Source organism: Homo sapiens, chromosome 4, assembly GCF_000001405.40.
Source record: "Homo sapiens chromosome 4, GRCh38.p14 Primary Assembly".
NCBI classification, from domain to species: Eukaryota; Metazoa; Chordata; class Mammalia; order Primates; family Hominidae; genus Homo; species Homo sapiens.
In genome coordinates, this window is record NC_000004.12 from 131,528,956 (window position 1) to 131,555,057 (window position 26,102).

At 34.5% G+C, this 26,102-nt stretch overlaps 1 long non-coding RNA gene across 20 annotated transcripts in view, besides 1 other annotated feature; it reads left to right on the forward strand.

The window, feature by feature from the left end:
* Positions 1–26,102, forward strand: part of LINC02377 (long intergenic non-protein coding RNA 2377) — a 338,568-nt gene that overhangs the window by 149,199 nt on the left and 163,267 nt on the right. For 4 of the 20 annotated variants that reach the window (NR_183925.1, NR_183931.1, NR_183933.1 and 1 more), the window contains one exon: positions 22,931–23,028. The exons of 13 other annotated variants lie outside the window; for them this stretch is intronic. This is a non-coding gene — a long non-coding RNA (long intergenic non-protein coding RNA 2377). Of the gene's footprint in view, positions 1–16,164; positions 16,855–22,930; positions 24,425–26,102 lie in introns of those variants that run through there. 3 more of the 20 variants (NR_183938.1, NR_183937.1, NR_183939.1) reach the window with 2 other exon arrangements.
* Positions 18,718–18,967: an enhancer, noted in NCBI's record as "active region_21904". NCBI's record gives its function as "activates an Ori minimal core promoter by ATAC-STARR-seq in GM12878 lymphoblastoid cells {active_cell/tissue: GM12878}" and the evidence as "EXISTENCE:reporter gene assay evidence [ECO:0000049][PMID:35858748]".

Genomic DNA, 26,102 nt, shown 5'->3' on the forward strand with positions numbered 1-26,102 from the left:
TACCTTGAGAATACTCAAAGTACCAGCAAAATTGTAAGACTACTGTCCAAAATAAGGTTCAGAATGAGCTTTCTGTGCTCACATTTCATTCTCAATGGGACCTGGCCTCCTGGGGTTGAAATGCAGATCTGGCTTCTATTAAGGATGAGATATGCAAAATCTTTGCATTCATTCAGATTTTTTGCAAATAAAATAATTGGAATTTTGACTAGGCAAAAATAAGAAGTCTCCATGTTTAGGTTATTGGGCATTGTTTCAAAATCTTTAAAAAAAAAATTAAACTTTTTTTTCTCCCATCAAAGGTTTTGGGTTGAGACTTTCATATGCACTTTAAAAATGTTATTTAATAGAGTTGATTTTTTAAAGATGTAAAAAGAAACAATTTTAAGACAAAAAGTGTTTTTTTAATATAAGATTGTAACTACTAGTTTTTGAAGAAAAAAATTATAGCAACAGTTGCAAATTAATTTTTTTATGTAGGAACTTGAACAATGTTTAGAGAAATACAGCAACAAATCTCACATAATTGTTAAGCGTTTCATGAAAGAATCTTGGCCTGACAAATAAATGCATAAAAAGTGATCTTACACTGCAACTGTTTGAATTGTTTTGAAATTGTCACTATATTAGATTTACCGTCTATCATGACTTATGGTGCCTTTCAAAAGAAACCAAAGGATATAATATTGACTAACATAAATCCAAAGTGGAGGTTGTTTTTATACTGTTAAATACAAGGGTTAAAGTGTCCTGGAGACTTTTAAGTACCTAGATTTAACATTTTCATATTCTTGGTAATTATCTAGTAAGATTATAGTTGAGTTTTTAATATTCTTCAAAATATTCATGTACTTTTTTGTTAAATAAATTTGACTTCTTTCTCTATGAATCTCCTTCTTTGGAATATGCACTGCCCAATCCCTGAGGGGAGAGTGACTTCATTCATTTACCAAATCCCTCTGAATTCAGCTTTTGCTCAAGAGCACACAAATGGAGCAATCCATATGCTTTGGGTTGAAATAAAACTGCTAACCTGGAGCATCTTATTAAAGGCTTCTAGGAATATAGAAAATGTATAACATAAAACAGTGTTTATTTCCTTGGTTAGAGACTAATCTTGTTTTTTATTTATTTATTTTTTGTACAGCCTAATGTTAAAAGAGTATGGAATTAGGCTGTCTGGGTACTATCTAAAAGAGACTAATGATTCTATAGTTATGAGAAGTAAATTAACTGTCCTCAATCTCAGTTTCAGTACTTGAAAATGTAAACACTAATCATATATATCTTAAAAGTTTCTATGAAAAATAAGTAAAATATTCAAAACATAGGAATATACACAATGCCTGGAACATTTTATCATTAATGTCATTATCACCACTCTCCTTACTATTATTACATTTTCTTCATACCAGTCATAACTTAAGAGTTTATAATATAGAATTGCCTTTATTAGAATGACTTCATTCAAAATTATATTATTTATATTTCAGTAAAAAATAACTCCATGATAGTGTTTGAAAACATACTCCTGTGTCTGAGATAATTAGGGCCAATAAATACTGGATTACACTAGTCTGATCTCTTGCCTTCAATCAAAAAACATAGGATGGCAGTGAAAATCCCTGAAATTGGTTAAAAATTGGCATGTCAACTACCTAACACTGATGGAAGTTTGTCAAATAGTTTGTATTTTAAAGGAATACATTTTTATATGTTATTTCTGGGTTGTTTGGAATATCTGGTAATAGATAAAGGCTCCCACCTTGAAAAACTAAAAATGCCAGATGGCATTTAGAAATCACCTGTCCGAAAGCAGCAAAGAGTTTCTTAACAAGATCTAGAGGAGGAACATTATGGAGAAGGAAGAAACTCTCAGAAGGAAGATTGCCTTTTGAAGTGACTTTTAATCCCAGGCATTTTTGCCAATTCTGAGCATGGGCAAGTAACAGATTCCTCTGCAGAGCCCAGAACATGGAAGAGGGCTGCTGTGGAGGGAGAAGGACATGTATAGAGCTTTCATGGAGATTTGAATAGCTCAAGTTCATGATTAATTTCCCCTCCAAATGTTCGACATATACTGGAGCTACTTGGGTAGCAGAAAAAAACTGTAGAGAAAGCTTCTGAAAAACAGAACAAAGATTCTGTGGAATAAAATGAAATAACAATGAAAAGTGGAGACTCACCAGATGAAAGGGCCCTTACCGAATACACAAGAATGTCTGTGAAAAACTCGAGAGATCCAGGGAGAACTGGAAGTAGAATTGTTATAGAAAAAAAACCAGGTCATGTCACGTGACCAGGAAAGATAAAGCTCACAGACACACAGAAGGGTGAGGAGTGGAAATTGACAACTCAGCAAAATGAGATGAAGTCCTGCTAACAAGCTCTCTGCCTCACCGATTGAACCTCAGGTTACCACACTGGAACGGGAGAGGCCAGGCTCCTCCCCACTGCAAATGACAGGAACTTCCCCAGTGAACTTCCCCAGGCCCCATCCCATCCTCCCAGTGCATAGGTCGACATTATTCAGAAACAATCAATTGGGAAAGGGTGAGTTTCATATGGGAAGCCAGTTCGGTTTTTCAGCCTTCAGGCTGTTTAGGCTTGAAGGCAGGGTTTTGCCAGGGTACGGTTGGCTGCCTCCCGTCTCTATCATGGTGTGCCTTAACATTGAAACCGCCACTGCAAAAGTATAACTGAAATGATTACTACAGTGAAAGAGATCTGACCTAACTGACTCCATCTTTCTTCTAACCTCCAAGCTGTCTAGTTCATTCCTGGGCATAGGCCAAACTAACTTTGGGAGGAACTTAGTTTATAGTCTACTGTTTGAAACAAAGACAATAACAGCCCTTTCCCAAAACAAACCCCCTTCTTTCCTGGGGACTAGGCTGCCTTTGTAGGACTAACAAATTAGCTACAAGATTAGAAATTATGGTTTAGGGGCCATGCAGCTTCCGAATGCAAGAGTCTGAGCCTCCCCAAATTGCTGTTGGGAATAACATCACTGTTGTAAAGCCTAAGATTAGTGCTTTAGACATTTTGCAAACCATGCATTCTGATGCACCAGCGGACACCACCCAGATTGGAAATCTGGCTCGATCGGTTCTGTGATCTCACTCCCAAACAGAAGTCAGCAAGAAAAACCTCACTTCAACTCCACTATGATTATATCTCCACTCGACCAATCAGCACTCTCCACTTCCCCAGCCCCTCCCTGCCAAATTATCCTTAAAAACTCTGATCAACAAATGCTCAGGGAGACTGATTTGAGTAATAACAAAACTCTGATCTCCCACACAGCCCCACTCCGGGTGAATTACACTTTATTGCAATCCCCCTGTCCTGATAAATCAGCTCTGTCTAGGCAGAGGGCAAAGTGAAACCATTGGGCAGTTACAATGGGGGCAATTATCTAGCTTGTTCTTCCAGCTGAGCTTGCCTGATAGGATGACCGTGATCAGCTATTACTGCGTCAGGTATAAAGCAGGATGAGTTCAGTGGAGCACTACATTTTTTAAAATATGTGATGCTGGGTGCGGTAGCTCGCGCCTGTAATCCCAGCACTTTGGGAGGCTAAGGCGGGTGGATCACCTGAGGTCAGGAGTTCAAGACCAGCCTGGCCAACATAGTGAAACCACATCTCTACTAAAAAATACAAAAATTTGTCAGGTGTGGTGGTGGGTAACTGTAATCCCAGCTACTGGGGGGCTGAGGCAGGAGAATCGCTTGAACCTGGGAGGTGGAGGTTGCAGTGACCCAAGATCATGCCATTGCACTCCAGCCTGGGCAACAGAGCAAGACTCTGTCAAAAAATAATAATAATAATAATAAAAAGAAAAAGAAAAAATATCTGATGGTTGGCAGAAGATAGAAAATTTATATAGATCATATCTCTAATAATTAAGAAAAAAGTAGACCCACAGGTGATCCAAATATTGGAGTTACCTGAAAAAAAATAAATCTCTTAATATTAAGTTTAAGGAAATGGAAACAAAAATAGGAAACTAGAGTAAAAAAGGAAGAATTTTAATGGAAGATTGGAACTTTAAAAAACCATTCAAATAGCATTACTGAGACTAAATGATTGTATAAAAATATAGTATATAAACTGTGGGGGCCATTGACTCTTGGCCCCCTAAAGGTTCACTGAAAATTACTGATGCAAAGCAGATTGACTAATAGGAGGAAGGGCATACCAATTTATTTATTGTGTATATATGGGAGCCTTCAGAGTGAAGACTCCAACCTCCCAACAAAATACAGAACTTATGTAACATCATGAGGTTATAGAAAGAATGTGGGCTCAGAGGATGGCCAAAAACAACTTTTAGTTTCAGGACAGGTTATTGGGAGGGAGAAAGGAAGAGGCCTGACTAGTAAAGTGTCCTTGTTTTGTAGATGAAGCTGCACAGGTACCAGTTTTCAGAGATAATGGAGGGTTCTTTTTTTTTTTCTTTTCAGACTTTTAAAGGTGTCAGATGCTCAGTCTCTCCTAAATCCTGGAAAGGTGCTGATAAGGCAGCACTGATGTCCATGCTTTTATTTTGACCCATATTGCCAGGGTGTTGTGGCTGCCTGCTCCAGGTCTATCTTGTCCCTAGGTAGGGCCCCTCTGGCTAAGGGAAATAGAGCAAAAAGACTTATAGCCAATTAAACATTTTAGGTCAGGCAGAAATGGAAGTGGGCAGGCATTCATAAATCCCTTAAACCTTTTAGACAACATGAGAGTCAAAAAGCAAGTTTACAAAATTGATATCCATAAGCACTACCTGTTGAGCCATCTGCTGTTTAAGTGTCTGTTGACCATCTTTGATATGGAGGGTCTGAACTAATTATACGGTTATGAGTATAGCAGAATACATGACTCTTAGTAGCTACATAAGAAGTTTTCTGATTACATTGAAAAATGTAGATAAAGCCAAGAGTACAGAATCAATTTATACTAAGGAAAATATTGCTTTTTCCATTTTTTTAGACCTTTAATATAAAATATTTCAGCATCAGGCCATAACAGTAGTTAGAATCAGAGGGAAAAAAATTACAGAAGCTGACTGATAAAAAAATTGAAGGACAAAGTTATTATCTTAGGCCTTCTCAAAGACAGAAAAAGCTGAAAGCAGCAAAATTTGAACGTCTGAGATATGAATCTGAGAAGTTGTCAAATAAATAAAACAGTTTATAGAATTAAACATAAAAACATCTTATAATTTTATTAGGAGAAACTCAATACCTTAAGAAAATCTTGTTTTAACATAGGGGAACTATCATTAAAAAGTTATATAAATATATGTGTTTAAAAATTATAGCCAACCTAATTATATACACAAATGTTTACCTTTCTTTCTTTTTTATAACTTTTAAAGTCCACAATTTGAATTAACCTTTAAATAATTTTTAGGCAATTTTTCAATAAAAACATAATTTTATGTCTTTTTATAATTAATTTTATATTAAAAATAATTTTTAACCACTTTTAATGCCTATGAACATAAGATATTCACCTAAGTAAGAACCTTAACATTAAGCAGATGGGCTTTTGCCGATAACTCAGAGGATTTAGCTGTTTTCATTAAACCAATGATCTTAAATTAGTTTTAGTCTTATTTTTGTCATGGGTTTGTAGCTATAATCTTCTTAATCAGCCAGGGTATGGCCCAATGGGCTCTTAGGTAGAATAAAAATTGAGCTGCACATTTTGAAGTTAGGGAACAAAGGAGCACAAATACACAGATCAAAGAAAACAGAGTACTCCCAAACAAATTCCCATAGAGGGAGACTGGAAAGTTAATAAATCTTATCTCAAACCAGTTGGTACTGCAAACAACATATGTTAGGTCCAAATGCCACAAAACCAAAATGCCAGAGACAGAGGATGTTCAGTGTACATACCAGTTTAGCTTAAGCAGTCCTGAAGCCCTTCAGCTTCCCAATCATAGTATTCCTTGCACCAGTGAAGTGTTGCAGGCACCTGATGCCACAATGGAGAAAGAAGGGAGGATACCTGAGATAAAGAATTCTTAGCAGCTCCTGGATGTCTTTAGAATCCCAGCTGTGAGGTCAGCTATCCATGAGCAGCTGGCACTCGTGAGCAGTTGTCACTCTGCCCATAGTGCGTACAGGTAAGTCCTGACGCTGCCTTGGCCAATTACTCCATCTGTTTGAAACCAGAGAGGCTGGATGCCTGAGGCCTATCACCCTGTGCTGAATGCCAGGTAATTGTAACCAAACTCAGGTTCAACTGCTCACTACTTGATGGAAAGAAAGCAGGTTTATTTATGTGCTAGCAACTTTGGAGATGGCCAGACTGAAATCTCAAAAAGCCATCTCAGAGTCTCAGGCTGGCTAAAGGGATTTTAAGGGGAAATGTGGCATGGAAACTATGTGCAGAAGTGGTGTGGATTGCAGGTCGGCTTGTTGTTTTCCGTTGACTACCCTGAGTAATGGACCATTTGCTGACCTAGTTGGCAGCATCTCAGTGGGGGTCTGGTTATGAATTAACTGTTCACCAGTTTCTTCTCAGAAGGGAGAAAATTGCAACTGTGATCTTCACTTAATGCTTGGACTGTTTCGAGATCAGTCTTTGGAACTCTCAAGCAAACAGGTAGTAAATACACGTTGTAGCAAGAAACAAAGTGAGGGAGGGGTTACTTTTAGACTAAGCAAGCAAATTGGCTATACCCTTTATAACTTAATCTAGAAAAACAAAAGAAAAAACAAAATTTTTTATGAAAATAGACACAATGACAGACCACACTAATATTAAACAGAAAGCAAATATTATAAAAAATGTTATACCAATAATTTGACATATTGCCAATATTGTCATACATAAAAACTGGATAAATTTGTGAGGAAAAATTACTAAAACAAACAAACCAAAAAACAGTTAAAAATATTACAGAAAACAAAAATCATCCGGGCGTGGTGGCTCAAGCCTGTAATCCTAGCACTTTGGGAGGCCGAGGCAGTCTGATTGTCTGAGCTCAGGAGTTTGAGATCAGCCTGGGCAACATGGTGAAACCCCGTCTCTACTAAAATCCAAAAAAAAAAAAAAAAAAAAAAGCTGGGCATGGCGACATGCGCCGGTAGTCATAGCTACACTCAGAGGCTGAGGCAGGAGAATTGCTTGAACCCAGGAGGCAGAGGTTGCAGTGAGCCAAGATCGTGCCACTGCACTCTAGTTTGGCGACAGAGTGAGACTCTGTCTCAAAAAAAAAAAAAAAAAAAAGAAAAGAAAAATCAATGTGTAATATAAAATGTTCTCACAAAGAAAACCAAAAGCCCATGTATATTCACTGTTGAATGCTTTCATATTTTAAAATATATATAATTAAGTATAAACTTATATAAACTGTTTAATAGAATAGAAAATAGAGAATGGTTTGCAACTTACTTTCGGAAGCCAGGATAACATTTCTATAAACAATAGACAGGGATATTATGAGAAAATCAATTATCACCCAACTCTTTGATAAACATAAATGACAATTTAAAAAACAGTGAATCAAATGCACTGATGTATAAAAAAGAATAATGCATTATGAACAAATAGAATATATTCCAGGAATGCTTATATAATTTATCACTATAAAAAAAAAAGAGAAAAAAGTAGCTCCTGGCAGAAACTATTCTGGCTTGGTCTATCAATGAGGCCTTGCTTGGTGTTGTTAGAAGCTGGCCTGGTAGACACAGTTACGCTTTTGTGATCTCTTCTTTAACATAAAAATTTCACAGAATACTAACATCAGACGAGACAACTCTGTGACCATGAAGGACCAAGAAAAATAAGACCGTTTACAATCACTTATGAATACAGACAAAATCATGAACATTTGCCCAAATCCCAAAAATGACCCCCCATTTCTGTATGTTGGTTAATATGAATGACAGCTGCCACTTTCTCAATCACAACTTTACCCTTAGTTCATTTTCTTAGATGTTCTGTTATCACAATTCTCAGGTTACTAAAAACCCTAAGTAAGTCATTGTCATATAAAGGTCGTTGTTATGTTTATCACAATCTACGATTATCTGTTATACAGGGGTAATGTGTCATGAAAACTATATTGTAGTATCTCATTATTAAAAAGTACATCTGCTCCTCCAAGGACACTTTACAGTGCATTTTAATATCTGTAAATAACCATTTTTTTCTTTATAAGGCAGAATAATTTAGTTCATCAAGCTAGTTGGTCTTTAAGATGTTTAACATACTGTCTGGTGTTTTATTTGTTCCTGTTAAAGATGTTGATAAACTTAATCGTTTTGGTGTGGATTCTCCAGCTTTAAGATAGCTGTATTAATACTTGTTATCTACCAAGTTACCAGGGATAATGTGAAGAATAATTAAATTAAAAATGTGGTGTTTCTTGCATAAAAATCACTAAATAGTGTAATATTTGGCATCATCGGTATGTTAATGCTAGGAAAAAGCATTCCTTGAAATATTGCTTTAAATGCTTTATCTCAATGTGCCCATTTGTGATTCTGATATGACTTGGACAGCAGGACAGGTAATATAACACACTAAAGTATCTGGAAGTAGACCAAACTGTAAGTGAAGGAAATTGTCTATTCTTATGGTTGAGATTTTATGTTTTTTATATATATACATAAGTGAAGCACTCAAGAGACATTGACACAGTCCTAGGATATTTTAAAAGTATAGATTAATCTATAAAATACCACTTCTGGATTAAAAATTCCAAGCCAAACAAAACTGCACTTTAGATTTCCATTTTAAACCTGCAATAGAAAAGAAGATAGACTTTTAAAATAATGGACACAAATAAAACTGCACTTTTAAGTACCTATCCTCTTAAGCTTACAACACATATCATCATTCACAGGAAGAGAAAAAAGCCATTTTTAACCAACGGTGAGTCACTTACTCAACACTCCCTTTGCTTATAAAAGCCTGTAGATTTAAAACAATAACCATTTTCTCGAAGATTTTGTGTTAACCACAGGATATTATACATCTTTTTTACAAAAAAAGAAGAAAAACAGATAAGATTATAAAAGACTAGATCAAAGAATGTTGAAATTCTAATTATTTTTAATGTAATATTTTTCTTATGTTACACAGATGAGTAAGTGTGAATATATATTTTTAAGCACTACATGCAGAAGAAAATAAAGCACTAAGAGTTTCATATTTTTGCTTTTTCCTCTAAGTTTAAAATGTTTGAGAATAGTCATCAAGACTGCAGGTTGTGTGCCTACGTGTGCATGCACGTGCAATGGTCCCATACACACAAATCTGAATGCATAACCAGAAGTTTAACATCTTGATTAAAGAAATCATTTTAAAATGCTGTAGCAAGATTTACTTGCTTCAGTTTTGCTATTATTTTTCTTTTTTCTTGACAGTTTCTCTCTCACATTTTTTGTTAGTTTTAATAAAGTGTTCTCCTTAGACCTGAAATAAAACAAAAAATTGCAGGCTCAGTAAATGGTCTCAGAGCACACAAAATTTGATCAGTTACTACCTAGTGTCTGTGCTAATAATAAATGCTTCAATGACACTGAAGCTATTCTGCCTGGTTAGTAATTAGTAGGCCCAAAATATGGATTAATTACTTGAATGCAATGATTCTCAAACTTCTTGTGATTATAAGAATTTTTTGAAACACTTTCCAAAATTGCAGGCTCAGTGCTCTCACAATAGACAATAAAATAGACATTGAGGAGCCAAAGTCTGGGAATGACCTAGGAGTGTGATAAAAATGTGACAATCCAGACCTACTAACTGAGATCCTGTGTGTTAATAAGATATCCAAGTAAACCATACACATATTAAAGTTTGAGAAACATTTATCGATCATACTCTTTCACTAATTTTAGATGAATGAAACTTTTTTGATTATTTTATGCCTAAAGTACCTTCATTACCTGTATACTTTATATGAAATAACATAATATAGAATATCTAGTTCGAACTCCTCATCAGGAGACTAAGACCCAGACATGGATTTTGATAAATGGGTCTTGATTTCATCTCCTCCTCTTATTATCTTCAAAGTTGTTTGTCCTTTAAAAAACTCTCTTTCCTAGTATAAATATTCAAGGAAATCCACAATTTTGTATCCATTGCTATTTTCAGCAAACTTCTACTATTTCCTCTATACTCATTCCTTCTGCTATATTTCCTATATAGTTGTTCCTATGATTCCTATTTTTTTCACTCATTGAGACACTGATATTCACTCTGGTAACATATTGAACTCTCTCATTGTTAGCCAATTTAGACCACTCACCATTTAAAATCAGTATCACACATATCAGTCTTTGATTACTAAGGTTATATCATAAGGACAGAAGAACATAATCCTATCAATAGTCATCAAATTAAATCCTGCAAACCTTTCAAAATTATTCAGTTATTATTTTCTCCCTAGTGCATTCTCTAATTATTCAGCCATGAAGGGACTCCTGTCTCCTTCCCAGAATCACCTTTGGCAACACTTGTAGTAGTTGTCTGTTGCTGCTGTAACAAATCAGCTCTACCTCTGCCACTTAAAACAACACAATATTTTTTTTCTCGAAGTACAAGAAGTCAAAAGCCTAAAATCAATGTGCCAGCAGAGCTGCATTTCTTCAAAAGGCTTTATTGGAGAATGTTTCCTTGCCTTCTCCAGCTTCTAGAGGCTGAGATCCCTTTCTCAAATCACTCTAACTTCTTTCTTTTATTGTCACACTGACTGATCTTTCTGTCTTCTCTGTTATAGACCCTTGGGATTATGTTGGCTTTCTCTGGATAATCCAGTATAAACTTCCCAACTCAAAATCCTGAATTTAATCACATTTGCAAAGGTCCTTTTGCCATATATGATAATATGTTTACAGGTCCTGGTGATGAGGATGGGACATCTTTGGGGGGGGCCATTATTCAGTCTACCACAATATTCTATACCTATCATATATCAGAACTAATTGGTGTCTATTAGAAAGGAAGGGAAAGAAAGACTGAAAAGAGAGACATACACAAAGAGAGACATAGTCAGAAAATTAAATCTAATATCAGTAAAGAAAATGTTATTTTAAGTGGGTTGCTTTTGATCCTTTGATAATTAAATGCAATTTAAAGATTTTAGTATTCTGAAGTGTGAATTTCCTGTTAGATTAACATGCTCTAGTTGGAATGAATTATTTTTCTATCTTTTCGTTCCAGAAAAAAAAAAAAAGTAGCAAACCCCCCCTCCTTTTTTTGTTGTTGTTGTTAAACTACACAACGCTGATCCAATATTTCATTGCAAAATGAAACTGTAGTTCTAACCATGGTAATTACTTAAATGTAGGTGATCAAACCTGGCTGATTGCAGTCCACTCCCTTCAATCCACATACGATTGACCACCTCTAGTTCAGTCTCCAGCAAGGCTGCTGGGATGAGGAGGAGCTGGGCAAACACCTGTGGGAGGCTGGCCAAGAAGCTGAAGTTGTGGGGCTCCTTCTGGCTGTAAGGGAGACTCCTTGGGCCTTGAGAATGTTCTGCACAGCCCACAGTGCAGAACAGCACTGGGTGTGAGCGGCCTGCGGGTGGCCCATACTTCTGGGTAGAAAAAAGCATCTGGGGCTCAAATTGTATGAACCCCAATCTATTGGTATCTTTCAATCTAGTTCTGTAGGAAAGCCAGGACAGGTGGCCTAATGTTATGCTGCCTTGTTCTTCCTCAGATTGAAGGATAATACTGATGTCTGTTTATCTACTTATCTATCATATTTACATTGAACATACCTAAGTAGCATTGCAAGAGGTCTGCTTCTAGCCATGCATCTTGAACTTTGTTTTGAAAATCTTTTTTTTTTTTGCTTATTCTCTCTCCATATATAAAGAATGGGCCTCAGTCTAATTTATGATTTTTTCTTATATTCTGAAATTATACACATAGCCTAAGCTCTTATGCTTTGAATATCTAATTATTCAAATGGGATTACTAATCCTTTTCATAGCCTGACTTAGAATATCAAACTGCTTATAGCAGTTAAATCAGGACTATATGCTACCTTGGATACCTTAATGCTGATTCATTGATTCCTTTTAAAAAATATATATCTTCTTCAATTTCTTCTAAACATATTTCTAGAGTGAAGCATTCTAGATCTTGGCAAAAAGAATGATAGAGCAGTATTCTGTTATTCTTCTGTCTATTTGAAATCACATTTTTTTTCATCTTAGGCTATTGCTAAGGCAGGCTGGCTGCCTTCATCTTCCCCAGTATTCTAGGATAACCTCAAAGAAATCACAACAGCTTGTTTTCTACAATTAAAACATTTGGGTTTTGATAGTGTGCATGGTCTACAAAGAAGTGAGAAGTGTAGCTGTTTGTATGGAATCTTATGGTGAACATTGCTGGCTCCAACATATAACTTGATTGGTGCGACATCAAGGTAAATGAATCCTCAAAGAGCTAGCAAATGGATCAAATAAAAGTATGAAGCATAATATAAAGTTTGCTTTCATCTATGTTTGTTTTATTTTGTGTAAAATATTGCTAGAGTATAAAAATGTATATCAGAACACAAGAATCACAAATATTTAGAAAACTGTCAGATAAAAATATAATCAACATTGTCTTTGTGTTTGTGAACTACTTAACAAAAATACAGATAAATTTAGTGTAGCAATTTAATTCTGAAGGATAATAATCTGTTTTATTAATAAATATATATGAATAAGTAAAGTGTATTACATTTTGGACAAAAATAATGTATTTGGCCCATCTCAGAGAAATGGCACTTTGGGTATGTAAATAGATGTGGTGTGGAGAAGAAAGGTGTGGCCCAGAACCTGGTTAAGGCAAAAAGAATATTCAGCTCTTTATGATGCAGTGAGTTAGAAAATGCCTGATTCACAGCTGCTGTGAAACTTCTTACTGCACACTAAAAAGTAATTTTCTAATACTATATTTTTCTGCCCACATCTTCCATCTCGTGGAACTCAAAATAGTTTATTTTGTGAGAGTTCACCTTAACTTCTCAAATTAAATGAAGAGTTTCAGATTTTAGAAATAACAGGAATGGACTTAAAAGTTTGCAAATGTGAAGTAGAAAGTTTTAGATTTCCAACTTTAATATGGTGCATTTAGATAGTACCTGCAGATATGATCAAAATGTCTCCATTAATTTTTAAGAAAGCACTCAGGCGGCCATAATTGTAGACAGATTAGTTAAACACTTTAGGGGTAAGATTCAGATTCTCAGAATACTGTTCTATCTTTGTCAAAAAGTCAAATTTTAAGACAATAGTTTGTAAGGCCTAGAACACCCACAAAAGACAAATAAAAATACGAGTATAAATATATAGTCTATATCACATTTGTTTAATTCACAATTCTGTTGAGAGCACTAAATGTTATTTTAAAAACTTGAATATCCAGAGTAAAGAGAAATTAGTTCTGACATATGAAAAATTTTTAGCAGCTTCTGATGATTACTTTGTACCTTCACTGACAATAAATGCTGCTATGTGCTTTTTGGTTATAATTATTTTGGCATAAACTTTCTTTCTTTGACTCTAATTTATACAGGTAGTGTTTCTGAAATTCTCTGTTTAAATGTCAATCTTGAATTACACGCTCACCGGCTATTACAAGATATGAATAAAGAAACTGAAAAAGTTTTAGATAAGAAACTTATGTATGAGATACTTGTTAGTCCAATGTTAAAAAAATGCACTAGGCCGGGCGCAGTGGCTCAAGCCTGTAATCCCAGCACTTTGGGAGGCCGAGGCAGGTGGATCACGAGGTCAGGAGATCGAGACCATCCTGGCTAACAAGGTGAAACCCCGTCTCTACTAAAAATACAAAAAATTAACCAGGTGTGGTGGTGGGCGCCTGTAGTCCCAGCTACTTGGGAGGCTGAGGCAGGAGAGTGGCATGAAGCCGGAAGGCAGAGCTTGCAGTGAGCCGAGATTTCACCACTGCACTCCAGCCTGGGCGACAGAGCAAGACTCCATCTCAAAGAGAAAAAAAAAAAAAAAAAGCACTAATTACTTTCAACTTTCCACTGACTCTCACAAGTTTAAGGTCACATTTTCATCACAGCAATAGTATTACTAAGTCATTCTTCAAATCATTATCTCACTCTAAGCCTAGATTGATTTATGCATTTTCTATCTGCATAGTCATGCAGTTGTAATCACAGTTGTTATAGTTCTATCTTTATAATTTACTTATATCATTTTTGCTTATAAATAGATTTAAATAATGTGTTTATACTGCATTATGTATGCTGTTTGGTTTCCCTATTCAATTGTGAGCATCTCGAAATCAGAGGCTATTCCATATACATTATTTTATTTTATTATATCTCCTCATCCATAGAACACAACAAAAGTACAACATAAGCAGGATAAATGTGTTAAATTTGATTCACAAATGTTGTAAGAGACATGCTGAACTTTAAAAAATGTATTCAAAGAGAAATACTGAAGATTACATGAGACAAGTATTTACATTTTATGTTTAAATATACCTATAAACTAGTTGAACTCAAATTAACTTTATTTGCTGGGTCCTTTGCTGCCAAGCTTTATAAAAAAGCTGAGCACTCCATTTCATATTTGAAATCTTTTAAAATTTCTATTTTACTTTACCAATTTAAGACTCGATCCATAAATGGTAGTCAAATGTTAATCTTCTTTTGATTTTCCAGAATTAGGATTTTCATGCCTGTTGTCAGTTAAAACTGCTAAAACCTGGAATATAACATGCATTTAGACACAAAATTTAGAAGTCAGGATTCAAACTTAAATGCATTCTTTATCCAAACCCTTCAGAAAAATGTGTGTGTGTGTGTGTGTGTGTGTTGCACAACTCTTACTCAAGTTACCTTACTTTGTTTCCTTATTTTTATACTGTATATTTCTTTTTGATTCACACTCATTTGTTTTCACATTTCATGTTATCCGGACCACATCCAAATTAAAGGATATCACTGTAAAATCTGAAATGAGATCTAAGAAAAACTGTGCTTTTAAATTTCACAAACGTTGTCATTGTTCATAATAGAATAAATTATATTAAAACTCAAACAACAAGCTGAGCACACTGCTTTGGCAGAGTAGTTAACTCAACAATGCACAAATGATGCAAACTTTTGATGACAAGGATCTTTGCTAAAAGATTAAATACAAATGCAGGCATTACTTTGGAGAGCCTTGAGTCTAGTTATTCCATGATAATTAGTTCTTCTCAACTTGCTGAAAGTTATTCCCAGGAAAAAAAAAATAGATTATATATTGAGTTCCCTGGGATGCGTAACTCTTAAGTTAAGCTCAAAAACATATTTTACATTTTTCTATGATGAAAACACTTTTCGTTTCCTTTCATAAGCAGACAAGTAGACACACAGAAATAAATTTACAGCCTTAATCTCTTTGTTCTGTGGATAATATGGTTTCATTTTATATATTATTTGATAGTATTCCTATGGAAAACATTGAAAAATGAGTTGAAGTATTACCTGTATGCTCAACTAACAAAACAGTTAATAAAATTTATAATTCAGACAGAATATATAAAAAAGAATGAATTACCCAATATGGGAATTCCATGTTTTACACTCATTTTTTTCCTCTTTCTCCTTTCCGTTGGGTTTATGTGCCATAAAGGCTAAAATTGACACTTGAGACCATGAGCTGCAGTATTTTGTTCTCTCTTTCCAACACAAAGGAAATCTTGAATAGAAACATTTATTTCTGGTTTGGTAATCTCTCTAATGAAGTTGAAAAATTTAAAAAAAAAAACCCAAAACAAACAAACAAACAAAAAAAACAAACCTTGTTGAGTTTTTACATCCAATGTAAAATCACTAGATTTAAATGGCACTTAAAAAATAATGACTTTTTTTCTGCAACCAAGTTTATAAAAAGGAAATTTTGGCTCATGGAAAAGAGATGAATGAATATAACTAGACTTCTGTTGGAGAGATTTATGGTATATATTTAGCATCTTAGACAATATAATAAATCACTGCCATAGTCAATGTGAAAAAATACATTAGTTGCCATTTGTTTTTCATCAGCCTATCTGGATTCTTTTCAGATGTCATTTTCAAGATTTATATATCAGTGTTATTTTATATAATAAAAAGTCTATTGCTGATTATACAAAAGAACTCTCAAATATAACATTGCCATCCTTTTAATTTTGAAGCTGCTCACATGGATACTACCAGCTTCATTGTGAATCACTGAAAAAGAGGACACAATGCCAAGGAATCCAAAGAGAAGGCAATAATGATAAATGCAAGTTATCACAAATCTCTATGTAGCTGAATATCATATATTGACATTTTCTTTTTAGGTAGCACTGGTGGATCAAGCTTAAATATTCCCTTTACTTCTATAAAGGTCCTTGTCTATCATATGTTGTGTATATTGTGAAATCCACTGATAGTTTTCTGTGTCCTGCAAAGTTGTATCTTCATTAGTCCTGCATCAGATATAAGCTCCTGATAATTTTATTCTGTCAACATAGTACTCTATGTGTAATGATACATAACAAATAATGTTAAAATTAATTTTAATGATGGTGATGATGAAATAGAAGAAGACCACAACTAAGGGCACAATTCTTATTTAAAATTATGTAGGCCGTGAAAATCTGCCAATATTTTAAGCATAAACCAAAATATCAAAAAGTGTTCTTGATTTATGGCTATATATAATTTGCTACAATTAATATAAGAGAAGAAGGCTTTACTATATCAGTCTAAATAAATAAATGGAGTTTGACCTTAAAAAGTCATATGTTTGGGCCAAAATTGACTAAAAATAATGTAGTTCAAAGAAAGCAATATGCATAATTGCTTTCATATATCTTTCTATATTAAACAATAAATACTAACTTTCTGCTTGCTTTATTTTCTCAGAGACAGAACACTTTTGCTAAATCAATTCAAGGATTAAAGATAATTTCTTAAACCCAAGTCTTTTATTCATCCCGATTACTATTGAATTGCCTTTAATACCCTACCTATTTAAGTATTTCAGAGAAGCTCTCTCAGGGTTAATCATGATAATCTTGCAATATTGCAAGGTTAATCATGTTAATCTTATTTAATAATTTACTAATATATACATTTCAAATAAGCTATTGTCAAATTTACTTAAAATTTGGAAAGTTTGATATACTGTATAGATTACTGCAATAATGAGAATAATTTAGAATGTTTTATTTTTAGCAGTGATTGTTTAAAATGTTTTAAGATGCGCATTTTCAAACCCATACTAAATAAGGTTTTTCCCATGGGTAATCAAAGAAGTATTTAGAATTTGAATCTTGCTTATTCCAATTAATTTAAAGTGTGGATCAACTCTTAGTCCTCTGGGTGCATTTACATCAACACAAAAATTACATTTAAAAATGTTGTGTCCTCTCCAACCAAGTTAAATCAATGTGCTTGCATTTTCCCTGAAGGCCAATATAAATGCAAGAATGCAATTTTAAGAGTGAAGGACCTCTATAAACAATATTCTGTTTCTAATTTCTGGAAGGCGAAACCAAAAGATTGAACATGGTAACCTTCACAGCATCTTAATTACTTTTATGTTAAAGCAGTTACCATTTCTATAATTAACATAATAAAATCCATAAAGCTTAACATGAGAAATCAAACAATAACCTCAAATCTGCGCATAAACATTAATGATAAATGCAAATATATTTGTATTTTACCAAATGTGTCAGCATATGATTCATTACATCCTCATATATTTTTCCAAAAATGTAAAAGTATACTGTAGTCCAGGAGGAAAGCTACATGTGAGAGATTAAATATGTATCTTGTCACACTGTCACTACACTATTTAACTGCAGCACTCAGATAATCTAGATCTATTTTGAAACTGAATAGGAACAGCCATTTAGTGTTTAAAAGGGACCTAGAAGTTACTATGGACCAATACACTGAGTTGTTCTACCTACATTTTACTTATTTTTGTCTTGGAATCTTGAGTTCACATGTTAATTTGTCAATTTAAAGAATAAGAAAGGCTGGGTGCAGTAACTCATGCCTGTAATCCCAGCACTTCCGGAGGGCAAGGTGGGAGGATTGCTTGAGGCCAGGAGATCCAGACCAGCCTAGGCAACATAGCACAACCCCATCTCTCTAAATAATTTGAAAAAGTAGCTGGGCATGGTGGTGAACGCCTTTAGTCCTAGCTACCTGGAAGGCTAAGGCAAGAGTATTGTTTGAGGCCAGGAGTTTGAAGCTGCAGTAAGCCAAGATCACACCATTGCACTCTAGCCCAGGTGACAGAGCCAGACCCTCTCTTAATAAATAAATAAATAAATAAATAAATAAATAACAAGAAAATGAGTTTCTGGAAGCTTATGTGACTTCCACATGATGCTGTGTGTATTGATAGGAGTATTTGTTTGTTTATTTATTTATTTTTGAGACAGAGTCTCACTCTGTCCCCCAGGAAGGGAGTGCAGTGGTGTGATTCCAGTCACTACAACCTCCACTTCCTGGGTTCGAGTGATTCTCATGCCTCAGCCTCCCAAGTAGCTGGTACTACAGGCACCCACCACCATGCTAAGGCCAATTTTTGTATTTTTAGTAGAGATGGGGTTTCACCATGCTGGAGAGGCTGGTCTCAAACTCCTGACCTCAAGTGATAGGACAGTTAATGTGAAGCCAGCTCTGCTCCAATTTGAAAGCTGATTCTGCTTTTTTAACTCCTTCACTATTTCTAGGTATACACAGATTACTGCCTGAATTATCTGTCACACTGAGGGAAGAGAGAGACCCTCTCATATTGTTTTATACTCAGTACCTGTTTTAAGAAAAAAACGAGGAAGTGAAACCAAAGACAGGCAGCCCGGCGCCAGGCCCAAAACTGGGCCTGGGCCTGCTTGGCCTAAACCTAGTAGTTAAAAATCAACTCATGACTTAGAACCCGATGTTACCCATAGATTTCAGGCGTTGTATGGGAGAACATTGTGATACTCCCTGCTCTGTTCTGTTTCTCTCTGACCACCGGTGCATGCAGCACTTGTCACGTACCCCTTGCTTGCTCAAATCAATCATGACCCTTTCATGTGAAATCTTTAGTGTTGTGTGCCCTTAAAAAGGACAGAAATTGTGCACTCAGGGAGCTCGGATTTTGAGACAGTAGCTTGCTGATGCTCCCAGCTGAATAAAGCCCTTCCTTCTACAACTTGGTGTCTGAGAGGTTTTTTCTGGGCTTGACCTGCTACAACACGTATTTCAATATCTTTGTTCTAATATTGAAATTAATTATAAAGTAGTTGATATAGAAGGAGCTTTTGGAATCATTTAACTGGTCCCCTTTCTTTTACAGATGTGAAAACTAAGCCCCAATAAAGTTACAGGATACTTCTAAGACAAAATAGCTTCTTAATAGCAGAGGCAGAACTAGAAGCCAAGTCAATCAATGAATACTCTATGTATACCAAACATATCTTTTAATGATCATTTACTCAGTGTATATAAGCAAATAATTTAGAATACATGAGTGACACAGATATGTTGTGCCTCATGGGGTAATTTTTGCTCAAAGACTATTTACATGCCTTATACAGACTTAATTTCCATCCTCTCTTATTAGGTCTGACATTTCTTCCATTGGTTCAGTAGGTTTCGTTTTACACACACACACACACACACATTACATATATATTTTTTGCTTCACAGCAAATGCAGAAAATATATACAAAAGATCACTACTGAATTTTCTTGGAAAGATAAAACATACTTTGTTTTAGGTATGTTAGATATGAGTTCTAACTTTCTCTTCAAAGAATCAATACGTCAATATGTTCAATTCTTTACCTTCTACTTTTAAACTTGACTTCCTTGTAAAGCAAGCTTTTCCAATTACCTGCTCCACCCTGACTCATTCTGATTACCTGTTCATTCTCCACCCTGACTCATTCCGATTTCCTGCTCTGCCATAACCATTTTTCCCGCCAAACCACTCACCCTGTCACTCTCTTTAAATTAGCCAGTCGGAATTAGTTTAGCCTGTGTGGTCTAACCCTAGCCAATAGGGGAATGACACAGCAGCAGGGGACACGTGCATCAGGAATAAGACCCCCTTTTCCTCCCTTGTCGAGATGTGCTCTCACCTTTGCTCCATCTGTGAGGGTGAACCACCCTATAGAAGTAAACAGCCTTGCCAAGAAGAAAAAAAAAAGAAAATTTTATATTGAGTGCTATTTCTTTTGTGGTACCGAAACTTTACTTATAACAGATATTTAACTTTATCGTGCTCTTTAAGTTACTCAGTGAATTATTTAAAACATACCAAAGAACCTGGCCTTAAGGGCATGAAGCAGGGTTGCAAGAGGGAGTGGAACTTAGTGGATAGTTAAGAATTAAGTTGTGTAATGGATCATGGAGAATCTTCCAAAGAAGGTTCAGTGAAGACAGGACTCTGACCACCTACATGGGAACAGGGAGGGATGTCAAGAAGCTGCAGGCAGTTCCTAAATCATAGCAAGGATGTTCATTTAGAAAGGCGTGGCTGGCAGTGGTATGAAGAGAGAAGAGGTTGTGGAATGAGGGGTTTAGCAGAGGAAATCAGGAAGTCATTGTGCTTTACAGTTCTACCAAGAGGAGATGGTTGGGATGAAATATTCTTGATATTTATACCCTTATTTTCTAATAGGGAACAGACGTGGTTATTTGAGGATGCTGCCGTTCCAAAATTGTTGGGCACACAGATAATACATGACTTTGCAATTGGAGGGCTTGAGTGTTTTCTCAGGTTGTAGGCAGTTGTAATCTCTTAAGGAAGCAAAGCAGCAGACAAGGTCCTTACATTTGTATGCAAAAATTATGCCTTGCCTATCCCCAAGGTGTACTGTCCCATAAAGGCCAGGAATTAGGCTACTTGATTTCCCTGGGAGTTAACCTACAAAGGGCAGCACAATGTTGATATGATTATAAACCATGTAAATTCTACATTATTCTGGACTCCCAGGAAAAAATAAACTTTTAAATATTCTACCATTATAAAAATATTAAAAATAATGTAATAATTACTTCACTTAATGATGTTGTTATGCTTGGGACACTTAAGTATTAGCAGAAGAAATATGTTCGTTTTAATATTAATAATATGACTTATATAAATTAAATTCCATACACAGTTGAAATTAAAGTATTAATGGAGTCTTTGGTACCTCTGAAAATGGAAAGACAAACAAATAAAAAACTGCAATGAAAGACTTGAGTGCTGGGCTATTAAGTGATGTAAACAGAATTTTCTGTGTCATTCTATGTTCCTGGGAATTAGTTTAGGTTCTAAATAACTGGAAGAAAATATTGCTAAAATTAAATTTATCATGTTTATTACATAATTTATAGAAATATCAAAGGCTTGTATTTCACTAAAACCCATATAGCTTTCTGATCATAGTCATATTTAATGTATTCTGGACAATAAATCTTTGTTTTGTTTTTTTTCTTTTTTCTTAAGCTGATTTTATCAATGCATTAAACAAATTTTTAATTTAGTCATTATTTTTAATTGACAAATTATAGTTGTATATATTTGTCACGTACAACATAATGTTTTGAAATATGTATATGTTGTGGAATGGCCAAATCAAGCTAATTAACATATATATTACCTTCCATACCTGTCCGTGTGTGTGTGTGTGTGTGTGTGGTGAGAACACTTTATTTATTCTCTTAGCAATTTTTAGGAATACAATACATTTTTATCAACTGTAGTCACCACAAAGACCTCTTGAACTTATTCCTCCTGCCTAACTGAAATTTTGTATCCTTTTGTATCTCAATATCCACCCTCCCAACTAGTCCCTGATAACCATCATTCAACTTTCTGCTTCTATGAGTTCTACTTTTTCAGAACTACATATAAGTGAGATCACGTTTTATTTGTCTTTCTGTGATCTTGCTTATTTCACTTAGCATAGTGTCCCCCAGGTGCATTCATGTTGTTGTGACTATAGGATTTCCTATTTTCTTAAGGCTGAATAGTATTCCATTGTGTACATATTATTATGTCATATTATTAATATTAAAATGTTCATATTGTGTACCATACTTGTTTTTGCTTAATCTTAATTATACTCTTTTAAATATTTTAACACAAATAGCTGTAATGATTCTACTTGCTCTGATTTCTGAAAACATTTCCCCACTTCAACATCACTTTTTCTGCATCTGAATGTCCTTTTTAAAAACTCAAAATAAAATGAATAAATGTCATTCACATGCTTTGGCAAAATTATTCAATTGTAAAAATATTTAGCCTGTGTGTTTATTTTGCTTTGAAATTTATATAACATCTAATAACACAGGATGCATTATTTTATATGTCAGATCAAATATATGTTTCATTAGAGGACTGTAGGTCAATTCTTATAAAACTTTAAGTTTCATACACGTCATCTGTGAATCTTGCTAAAATTGCAAATTCTGATTTAGTCAGTGTAGAGTGGTGCCTCAATTTTGCTGCTGAACTTTGGGCAATGATTTGTGTTGGAGGAATTTAGAGGACAGTGAGGTAGATACAGCTTCAGTTTTCTCTGTGAAACATATGTAAGAACAATACTACTACAGGTCAATGATGTGTGGTGGAAATTTCAGTTTCAATCAGTTCATTATGAATTGTGTTATCCAAGTCAGGAACTCAGAGGATGTCTTTTCCATGTATATGTTTTAAAGTTACCTCCTTCACACTGTGCCCATCACTTAAAGATTTATCAGACTCTGTAAAATACCAGTTCAATAAATTATACCATTATTAACACAATTTTATGTGAAGAATAAAATATAAAGATATCTCTAAGATCACTCCAAAATAACTTACATTTAGCTTTCTTTTTCTTAGTCTTCTTCTTTTTGTTTTGTTTTGTTTTTTATTTTGGTTTGTTTTTTGTTTTTTGTTTTTACACGAATTCTTGCTCTGATGTCCAGGCTGAAGTGGAGTGTCATGATCTTGGCTCATTGCAGCCTCCTCCTCCCAAGTTCAAGCAATTCTCCTGCCTCAGCCTCCCGAGTAGTTGGAATTACAGGTACGCACCACCATGCCCAGCTAATTTCTGTATTTTTTTTAGCAGAGACGGGGTTTCAGCATGCTGGCCAAGCTGGCCTTGAACTCCTGACCTCAAGTGATCCTCCTGCCTCAGCCTCCCAAAGTGCTGGGTTTACAAGCATGAGCCACTGTGCCTGGTCTTTAATCTTCTTAATAAGTTGTCAAAATCTAATATTAGCATATGTTATAAAAAGGTAGAACTCTTCTCTGTATGGTAAAAAATACAGTCATACGGTAAAAAAGGAGAACAAGTCATTATTGGCAATGAGAGAAAAAGTAAAGAAAATCTACTTATTAAAAATTTTTCTGTGGACTAGAAAAATGGCCAGCCATGAATGTCATTTAAAAGTTATTATATAATGAACATTCATGTAATGATTGCTTTTGTCAAGGAATAAAACATTGCCAGTCCTTCCAATACACCTTCCTGACTGACACCCTCCCGTCTTACAAAGATTAGCCTTAACATGATTTTTATGGGAATTGATTTCTCAGTTGTCTTTTCAGCTTTAACTTCCATGTATATGTCCTTTAACAATATAATTTGTTTTGTCTTGTTTTGTTTTGTTGTAAAGATTATATAAATGGTGCATTCAGTATATGCCTTTTGTTCTGACAGCTTCTCTTCAGTAATGTGGTTCTAAGATTCATTAACGTTTTTGTTAGTAGCTCTATTTTGTTAATGTTGACTGTCTATACTATTCTTTTATATGCATACCATCACAATTCATTTATTTTTTGATTGCTGAATATTTACGTTGTCATCAAATTGTCACCATTTTAAGTAATATTGCAGTTAATATTTTTCAGTATGTATCCCTATATAGGTATGAGTATATAACATACAAATACAGATGTAAAATCTCTGGGTTATAGGGTATAGATTTCCTCAACATAATGAAATAAATACAGTGTTTGTTAAAATAACAATTTCAGTTTACATTCTCACCAGTGGTATGTGAGAGTTGTTGTTGCTGTTGTCAGTTTTTAAAATTTTTATCAATTTTTGTTAAATTCTGTTGTGATTTAATTTGCATCTCCCTAAATACCGTTGAAGTTATAGGTTTGTCATATGTTCGTTGGCCATTTAGATTTCCTTTATTTATTTATTTTTTTTTTGGAAGTGAGAGTTCAAGCTTTAGCTCATATTATTTTCTTTTGGGCTGTTCTTTTTTAAAAATTTAATTACAAAGGGACTCTGTACATTTTGAGTATTAGTGCTTTTAGGTGATATTAATTGCAGATATTTTCTTCCAGTTTTGATTTGATTTTTCACTATCTCTCTGTTATGTTTTGATACAGAAGTTCTTTGATTTAAGTGTTTGTTGTCCAAATTTGCCATGTTTTTCTTAGTAAAATTCATTATTTCTTCTTTACATTTAATGTCTTTTTATTCAGAAACCATACACATTAATTCATGTATTAATTATTCTATATAATTCTCTAATGACCTATCATTTTTTATTAGATAGGCCTATAGTCAACTGGAATTCATATTTGTCCATAATATGGAGTTGGGGAAATATTCCTTCTACTATATAAACATACAAATACAACAGTGCCATTTATTGAAGCATTTTTTTCTCAAGTTCTCTACAGTGCATTTTTTCATGACTCAAGTTCCATATATACATAGGCTTTTTTTCAAACTTTGTATTCTATCATACTGGTCTTTTTGTTTTTCCTTACATCAATATATGTGTCTCTATTTATTATATATTTTTAATAAATATGGTTATAAATTCCATATATTTCTTCAAATTTGTATTTTTATCAAGTTTATTCTTGCTATTCTTATTTATATTTCTATATATATTTTAGAATTAGATTGACAATATCCACAAAAATTCTGTTGGGATTTTGATTGGGATCTCTTTGAAATCTATAGATAAATTTGAGATGAGATATCTCTGTTGCACTATTGAGTTATTGAGTTCTTATCCATGGATATGATTTTTATCATTTGTTCCCATATATTTAGATCTTATATCACACACACACACACACACACACACACACACACTCTATATATACCTTATATGTAGAATATGTTATAAACTTATTCTGTAATCTCAGCACTTTGGGAAGCTGAGGTGTGTGGATCACCTGAGGTCAGGAGTTCGTGACCAGCCTGGCCAATGTGGTGAAACCCCGTCTCTACTAAAAATAAAAAAATTAGCTGGGCGTCATGGCAGGCGGCTGTAATCCCAGCTACCCTGGAGGCTGAGACAGGAGAATCGCTTGAACCTGGCAGGTGGAGGTTGCATTGAGCCGAAATCACACCATTACACTCCAGCATGGGCAACAAGAGCAAAACTCTGTCTCAAAAACAAACAAAAACACATATTCTTCTGGATATATATAAAAGAGAAAAGCAAGAATAAATACTATGCCAACATGATAATATTTATTATTAAACCAGTCTCTAGTAAAAATACAAACAAAAAAAAATTAGCTGGGCGTGGTGGCGGGCTCCTGTAGTCCCAGCTACTCGGGAGGCTGAGGCAGGAGAATGGCGTGAACCCAGGAGGCGGAGCTTGCAGTGAGCCGAGATCGCACCACTGCACTCCAGCCTGGGCGACAGAGCCAGACTCTGTCTCAAAAAAAAAAAAAAAAGAGAGATAAATATATAGCTATGAGTATATTTTATCTCTTATTATATTAAGCCAGTTTATTTACTTCCTAATTACAGTACATGTTCATCAAATATGACTATAGAATTTTACCATTTTCTGTATCTGTTAATAATGATGCAATTTTTATCCTGGAATCTGTGTATGTATTGGTGAATTCACTAATTTTTGTAAAGCTGAACTTGCATTCATAATATAAATATAATTTGGTCAATTGTCTTTAGTTGATAATTTTTTCTGGATTATCTGTTGTCTATAAGCTTGGATTTAAGCTGTTAATAATTTCTTCAGAATTTTTTTTTATGAGAAACACTAAAATTATCCTTTCTTATGTCATGCTTATTGGGTATAACTGTGAAGAATAAGCAGGCCTCTCTAACCCAGGCTAGACAGAAAGCAGAAACTGGGCATATGTTTAGAT